This window comes from Homo sapiens, chromosome 16 (genome assembly GCF_000001405.40).
Source record: "Homo sapiens chromosome 16, GRCh38.p14 Primary Assembly".
Lineage (NCBI taxonomy): Eukaryota > Metazoa > Chordata > Mammalia > Primates > Hominidae > Homo > Homo sapiens.
In genome coordinates this window covers 22,632,917-22,641,358 of record NC_000016.10, presented here as the reverse complement: position 1 = coordinate 22,641,358, position 8,442 = coordinate 22,632,917, and the positions used below count along the sequence as shown (strand labels likewise).

At 42.9% G+C, this 8,442-nt stretch overlaps 2 annotated features.

Annotated features, from left to right (window-relative positions):
- Positions 5,172-5,727: an enhancer, noted in NCBI's record as "OCT4-NANOG-H3K27ac hESC enhancer chr16:22646953-22647508 (GRCh37/hg19 assembly coordinates)". NCBI's record gives its function as "activates a minimal SCP1, AML or CMV promoter by ChIP-STARR-seq in primed H9 embryonic stem cells {active_cell/tissue: H9 hESC(primed)}" and the evidence as "EXISTENCE:reporter gene assay evidence [ECO:0000049][PMID:30033119]".
- Positions 5,728-6,284: an enhancer, noted in NCBI's record as "OCT4-NANOG-H3K27ac hESC enhancer chr16:22646396-22646952 (GRCh37/hg19 assembly coordinates)". NCBI's record gives its function as "activates a minimal SCP1, AML or CMV promoter by ChIP-STARR-seq in primed H9 embryonic stem cells {active_cell/tissue: H9 hESC(primed)}" and the evidence as "EXISTENCE:reporter gene assay evidence [ECO:0000049][PMID:30033119]".

The following is an 8,442-nucleotide window of genomic DNA, read 5'->3' as shown; positions in this document are numbered from 1 at the left end:
AGCTTCTATCTTGTGAGTCTTGTTTGATTCGTGCCCCTGCTGTTGCTGACAAAAACCATGCTGATACATTTCATATTCAGGGATGTGTCAGAACCCATTGTGTAGCACCTTGGACAGCTCTCCCAGTGGCCCTTTTGACAAATCTAGGTTTAAATCAGCCTCCTATGTATCTTGCCTTCTGTCCTATCCCTCACTGCCCCACTGACCTCCTCAAATGCTACACTACAAGAGAACTGGCTGAAAAATTATTCATGCTCAACAGATCCTTCCAAAGGCTGAAGTTCATTCAGGAAGTCAAGATTAGAGTGAGCCCTGCAGAATATAGGGTGAGAGAAACTGGGAAAATGGCGTGGGGAGATAATGGAAAGAAGGGTAGCTTCAGGAGAGGACTCACTTTTTTAAACTTTTATTTTAGGTTCGGGGTACATGTGCAGGCTTGTTATACAGGTAAACTTGTGTCATAGGGGGTTGATGTACAGATGATTTCATCACGCAGGTACCAAGCCCAGTACCCAATAGTTATTTTTTTCTGATCCTGTCCCTCCCCTCACTCTCCACCTTCTGATAAGCCCCAGTGTGTGTTGTTCCCCTCTGTGTCCACGTGATCTCATCAACTTAGCTCCCACTTATAAGTGAGAATATGCGGTATTTGGTTTTTTGTTCCCACATTAGTTTGCTAAGAATGATGGCCTCTAGCTCCATCCATGTTCCTGTAAAGAATATGACTTCATTCTTTTTTATGGCTGTGTAGCATTCCATTGTGTATATGTACCACATTTTCTTCATCCGGTCTACCATTGGCGGGCATTTAGGTTAAATGTATGTCTTTCCTATTGTGAACAGTGCTGCAGTGAACATATGCATGCATGTGTCTTTGCAATGGAATGATTTATATTTCTTTGGGTATATACCCAGTAATGGGATTGCTGGGTTGAATGACAGTTTTGTTTTTAGCTCTTTGAGGAATAGCCATACTGCTTTCCACAATGGTTAATTTACACTCCCACCAACAGTGTATAAGTGTTCCCTTTTCTCCACAACCTTGCCGGCACCTGTTATTTTTTTACTTTTTAATATAGCCATTAGCCATTCAGGGTTGGGCACAGTGGCTCATGCCTGTAATCCCAGCATGGGAGGCCAAGGCAGGCAGATTTGAGGTCAGGAGTTCGAGACCAACCTGGTCAACATGGTGAAACCCCATCTCTACTAAAAAAATTACAAAATTTAGCTGGACGTGGTGGCACACACCTGTAGTCCCAGCTACTCAGGAGGCTGAAGCAAGAGAATCGGTTGAACCTGGAAGGCAGAGTTTGCAGTGAGCTGAGATCGTGCCACTGCACTCCAGCCTAGGTGACAGAGTGAGACTCTGTCTCAAAAAATAATAATAATAATAGCCTTTCTGACAGATGTGAGATGATATTTCATTGTGGTTTTGATTTGCATTTCTCTAATCATCAGTGATATTGAGCTCTTTTCATATGCTTGTTGGCTGCATGTATGTCTTTTTGTGAAAATGTTCATGAGGAGAGGACTCAATGTAGTTTCAGAAACACCGAAGAACTGTGTACACTTAAAAATGCAGCCTGAGTGTAAGGATGTAGCTTGGTAGTGCACAAAAACACTGCAATAACAGTATTGGTTTAGGTCCAAAACTTCTAATTAGGTGATAAAAGAAAGAGCAAGAGAAAAAGATAATTCTTTATGTGCTCACATAGCATCATACTCACAATATACTCTGTTTTGAGAGGGAAGGGAAGGACAGCTTGTAGTATAGAATGTACAGTATAATCTTGTTTATGTTTGCATAGAAAACTTTTCAAAGTCTGGAAAAATATACCCTAAACTGTTAATGGTAGGCATCTCTGAGAGGAGGGATCATAGTGAGATTTTACTTTCTCACCAGTATTTTCATTTTTTATAATTATTCTGTCTTAGTCTGTTTGGCTGCTGTAACAAAAATATCACAAACTGGGTGGCTTATAAACAGCAAACATTCCATGTCTCACAGTTCTAGAGGCTGAGAAGTCCAATATCACTGCCAGATTCAGTGCCTAGTGAGGTCCCATTCCTCACTGAGAGCAACTTTTAGCTGAGGTTTTGGCCTTCATGACCTAATCACCTACTGAAGGCCCCACTATTAATACCATCACACTGGGTTTAGGTTCCAACTTAGGAATTTGGGGAGACACCAATAATCAGACCATAGCAGATTCTATATTGGGTTGACATGTGGCTAATATGCAGTATGTTTCACCAGCTGTGTGGGTATTTAAAATAATAAAATGCTTCTGTACTAGCTGGAGAAAGCCACTGTCCCAAGCCCCACAAGAACTCTCCCCAATCCACTCACGATCCAGCAGGTGAAGGGTTAACACCAAGTACATCCGGGAGCTTCCAGATTCCCTAATATAATTCTAAGGGCAGGGTCCATTCAGCTTGATCTGTTTACAGGCTGGGAAAATTGTTAATTTTTAAAATATCGTCTTTTTCCCCTCCCCAAAAAAGTGGTGATTTTTTTTTTTTTTTTAAACCTCATGTTGGCTCCAATCAGAATTGCATAATGACGCTCCTGCTGGAAGAATTTTAGAACATCGGTTCGCAATTTTTATTGCGGTCATGACTCACATGTCAAATGACTTTTACATAAAGGACTCACTCTCATAGGCTTACCCAAATTTTAAAAATGATTCTGGTTTGCATTTCGCCCAGATGCAAGCTGCTGAATTGGGATTGCTACCCAAGACTCTCCCTGATGTCATGTCATGCACCTGAGTGTGCTCATTGTTTTCTGCAGGCCTGTGTCAGCTCCCTTCCTCCCACTTATTTCATACTTAGCCTCTGTTGCTTAATATTTCTTGTTATTATGTTCTGTCACCCTGACTGCTTTGTAAGCACTGTGAAGACATACAGTTGGGCAACTTTTTTTTTTTTTTTGGCCTCACTGTACCTAACCTACTGACTGGTTTGTAGTAGACCTTCAAGGATATTTATTGGCTGGTTCACATCTATAATCCCAGCACTTTGGGAGGCCGAGGTGGGAGAATTGCTTGAGCCCAGGAGTTTGAGACTAGCCTGGATGACATAGGGAGACCCTGTCTCTAAAAAAAAAAAAAAAAAAAATACAAAAAGTTAGCTGTGCATTGTGGCATGCAGCTGTGATCCCAGTTACTTAGGAGGCTGAGGTGGGAGGATCATCTGAGCCTGGAGGTCGAGGCTGCAGTGAGCTATGATCGCGCCACTGCATTCTGGCCCTATTTACTGCTATTGATACATGTTATTTGCAAAGGGATCCTCCTCCCTGGTTACTACCACAATTGTCACTGCATGGTTAGTGCTTGGACAATACAGAGCCTATTACTGGAGGCTTGAACAGGACTGGGGTGAGAAATACTCTCCCATCTTAAGGGGCAGAAATTATTTGTCTGCCTGTTTGTCACAATGGGCATGGCTTTTACAGACCTCTCTCATCCTTAATATTTTTATCTACTCTTTTCTGATAACAAATATTATTCCCTTTTCACCTAGAATGTTTGTCACAGGACAAAAACTCTTTACCCATCCCATATGCTTCGTGCCAGACATTAGAAACCATCTTTGCTCTTAGCAGCTTCCCTGTGTCAGGAAGCCAAAGTGCCTCCAGCCAGATGAAAGTCTTCAGTATCCTGATGATTGGTCAGTGTATGGTTAATGAGGGTGATCCAAACCAACGTCATAAGAAAATCCCTCCAATTCCAGTGGTTTTGCTTATTTCTCATGCACATAAAGCACAGTGGGGGTGTATCTGATCAACAGGCAACTTTCTTCCACACAGTGATTCAGGGACCCAGGCTCTTTCCATCTTACAGTTCCACTTTTCCCTAAAGCTTTGGGATTATCTGCACTCCGCTGGCAGAGAAGGAAAGAGAAATAAAGAAGGAAAGAGGGTACCCACTTCTTAAAAAAAAAAAATCCTGACCTAACACATGGACGTAAAGATGGGAACAACAGACATTGGGGAATACAAAATGGAGGAGGGGCGAAGTGGGGCAAGATTTGAAAAACTACCTATTGGGTACTATCCTCACTACCTGGGTGACAGACTCATTTGTACTCCAAACTTCAGCATCACACAATACACTTTTACAATAAACCTGCACATGTACCTCTAAAATAAAAGTTGGGGGGAAAAAAAAGAAGAGAAACTCTCACAAAACATAAATAAATAAGTAAAGCTAACCCAGAGGTAACACACATCACTTCTGCTCGTGTTCCTGTGATGAGAACTAATCACATGACTCCCTGCTGATGTGAGGGAAACTGGGAAATGGCATTGCTGGCCTAGAAGTTGCCTCACAGCAACCACTTCATGCTGTAGAAAGGGGATCAGGAATTTTTCGTGGATAGCTAGTCATCTGCCACAGCCAATGAATTGCAAAGGACTCAGATGATCTTCTACTTAGAATTAGAAAATCATCTAATGAGACTCTTAAGAAATCTCCAGGCCAGGCGCCATGGCTCACACCTGTAATCCAAGCACTGTGGGAGGCCGAGGCAGGTGGATCACTTGAAGTTAGGAGTTCAAGGCCAGCCTGGGCAACATGGTGAATCCTGCCTCAACTAAAAATATGAAAATTAGCCGGGCGTGGTGGTGCATGCCTGTAGTCCCAGCTACTCAGGAGGCTGAGGCAGGAGAATTGCTTGAACCTGGGAGGTGGAGGTTGCAGTGAGCTGAGATTGTGCCACTGCACTCCTGCCTGGGTGACAGAGTGAGACTCTGTCTCAAAAAAGAAAAAAAAACACAACATTTTCAGATGTATTTATTTTAATAGACAGGATCTCACTCTGTCACCCAGGCTGGAGTGCAATGGTGGGATCAGAGCTCACTGCAGCCTTGAACTCCTGGGCTCAATCAATCCACCTCCTTTAGTCTCCCAACTAGCTGGGACTACAGACGGGTGCCACTATGCCTAGCTATTTTTTTTCTTTTAGAGAGTTCAGGTCTTGCTATGTTGCCCAGGCTAGTCTCAAGCTCCTGGCCTCAAGCATTCCTCCTGCCTTGGCCTCCCAAAGTGCTGGGATTACAGGTGTGAGCCACCACATCCAGCCTATTCTTTCCAAGTCTCTTAACACTCCTGTTCCCTGTCACAGGATATAGGTTTTTATGCCAATGGGTAAAGACTTCGAACTGGGAGGGGATTATGCAGTGTGACAAGGTTATAACCTACATAAACCTTTAAATTAGGCTTTAAGCGTGGTCTGCTGCCATAAAGCTTGTGGGCATCGGGAAGCCAAGAAAGCATCCTACTATTCTTTGACTGAAATTAATCTCCATTCTCTATGTGACTGCTCTTCACCGGGGCATCGTGGTGCTATGATCAGCCACACTTCCTGTCCTTGAAGTCCGAATCAAGCCTGTGAAGGAAGCCTGGAGTAAACTCCCAGGACACATGTCTAATACAGCTATTTTCTTTTTTAAAATATAAGCAACTGCTATGGTTCCATAATGAACATTTTTATTTTTAAAGTACTTTATTTCATAGGGAAGAAATGTAATGCATTCTTTTCCCCCAAAATAATAAAGAAAATTGCTACTGGGAAAGGTTTGGCATTTGAAACCTAGTGGGAGATTTCTCCAGCAGATGGTTTAGTGGCAAAAAGCTTTTAAGAATTTCTGACTGCTAGAGAAAAAGGGAGAGGGAAGGTGGGGGTTGGGGGGAGATTGATTTGATGTGATAAAGAAAAGATGTATCCAAAGAAAGCAATTCTTATTCAAGTTCTGATGACTCAAATGATCCATAGACTAGATCACAGATTCCAAAGCCTGACTGTGCATCAGAATAGCACGGGAAGCTCGTTTAAAATACCAATGGAATCAGAATATCTGTGGGTGGTGACCAGACATGCATATGTTTTCAAGCTCCATAGGTGATTCTGTTGAAATGCAGTGGCCTATCTCTTTGTTTAATTCTGATGGTAGCTACAGAGCTAGGCAGTACTATTAGCTTAGCAAATATTTTGTACTCTTAACCACTTGGCTAGCATTTGCTGTATACCCAAGCCCACCAGCAGCAGGCTCTTTACTGGGTCTCTCATCTTTTTACAAAAAGCATTTGGATGATATACTTGAGAACCCCATGGATGAGGATGCCAATGCATTTGATTATTTCATTTGGAAGCAAGGGAGGCAAAATTCACAGCCAATCCACCCAGCACTCTCTGCAGAGAATCACAGCTATGTTACAGCAAATAGCTCTGTTGAATACCTTTGGCTGCATCCCCTGGGAAGGCAGGATGGTGTCCTGGGAGGAGCAGAGACTGTAGCAGATTGGCTTTAACTCCCAGCACTGCTGCCTGCTAGCTGGGGGCCCAGGATATGTTCTTTCAACCCTGTTTGTTGTTTGTAAAACTGGAAAGAATTCTACTGACCCCACAGTAATATAAGTTTCAAATGGGGCTGGGCACAGTGGCTCATGCCTGCAATCCCAGCACTTTGGGAGGTCAAGGTGGGTGGATCACCTGAGGTCAGGAGTTCAAGACCAGCCTAGCCAACATGGTGAAACCCCATTGCTACTAAAAATAAATAAAATAAAATAAAAAAAAAAAACAGCTGGGCATGGTGGCCAGGACCTGTAATCTCAGCTACTCAGAAGGCTGAGGCAGGAGAATCACTTGAACCTGGGAGGCATGGGTTGCAGTGAGCCAAGATCACGTCATTGCACTCCAGCCTGGGCAACAAGAGCAAGACTCCATCCAAAAAAAAAAGAGTTTCAAATGGGGAAAATGTAAGAAAAGCATCTGGGGAAGAACTGCCATGGAGTAGGAACTTTATAAATGGTACTCAACTCACTACATTTCTTTTAACCTCCTTACCCCTGGAAAGAGGAGAACCAATTAGCAACAGCTAAGAAAAGACATTCACGTTTTCCCAATACTCCTGAATTTTCTACAGAAGTGTTATCCAGGATAGAATTTGGAGACAGACGTCCTTCTCTATTTTCCTTTATGGAAGTTGGCTACCACTGTATAGACACTTACCTCCAGTCCCAGGTGTGACCCAAACCAGAAAGCCTCTCCTAAAACATGGGACCAATCCTGGGAAATGCCAGATATGGCTTTTGTAACTTAGGTAATAGAAATGATCTCTGTGAGTCCCACATGATCAAATACAAAATTATACAGGATTCAAATTAATCACATGGACAGGCATAAAACACCAGACTCTAAATATTATTTACCCAGCATCAAGCAGATGTTTGTTTCCAAAGCTACAATCTCCTCTAATTGGCTGATGCTGTGCTGCATAGACTCCAATGCAAGCTTATGTTCTATAATGAATGACAAATGCCTAGAAGAATCCTCTGTGAATTGGCAGCCTCCTCCTCTAGCATGCAAATTATGCCGAAATCCCATCAGCAGACGCAGATAAGCTCATCTGCATGATTGGCAAACTAGTGGATAAACACACCCCAGGATTCATTGTCCAAATTCAATTTGGTGGTTTCATCTCCATTTTCAGTGATCATTTATTTGTTAATTTATTCATTAGCCAACATGATGAAGCAGCTATTCGGAAACAGGCACTGTCTTAGGCTTTAGGAATACAAAGGTAAATAAAGATATGGTCTCTTCCTTCAAGAAGTCCACAATGAAGGAAGTGAGACGAGGCCGGGAAAGAAAACGAACTAGGAACAAGTACAAAAATAGAGATATGGGCAAATGTCAGTGGTGATACAGAGGAGGGGTGATCAACTCTACCTACAGGGGTTGGAGATGGTGCCACAGATTTTCATGGTGTAGCTTAGAGGAAGATGTTAGCTAGACAGACAAACTGTAGAAAGGGGGGTTTCCATCAAGAGTGTTCTCTTGCTGTTGCAAGAACACTTGACGACGTGCGTCCTGTTCTGGGAACCACAGGAGTTTTATCTGGCTAAAGCAGAAGGTGCCAGTGTCTGTTCTATTTTGGCTCCTTTAAAAATCCACCCAAGGCCAGCTGTTGTGGCTCATGCCTGTAATCCCAACACTTTGGGAGGCCGAGGTGAGAGGATCGCTTGAGGCCAGGAGTTTAGGACCAGCCTGGGCAACATAGCAAGACATCCCCATCTCTACAAAACATAAAAAATTAGCTAAGCATGGTGAGGTGTGCCTGTAGGCCCAGCTACAGGGAGGCTGAGGCAAGAGAATCCCTTAAGCCCAGGAATTCAAGGCTACAATGAGCTACGATCTCACGTCACTGCACTCCAGCATGAGTGACAAAGTGAGATCCTGTCTCTAAATAAATAAATAATTTTTTAAATTAAATAAGTATAAATAAAAAGCTTTTAAAAATAAAATCCACCCAGGTGGACATGTAAACTGCACAACCCCTTTGAAAGGCAGCATGGCTATGTCTATTGAAATTTAAAATGTGCCTGTCTCTGTAATAATTACGGAGGCAATGGATTCAGGTCCTCATGGCCCAGTTAG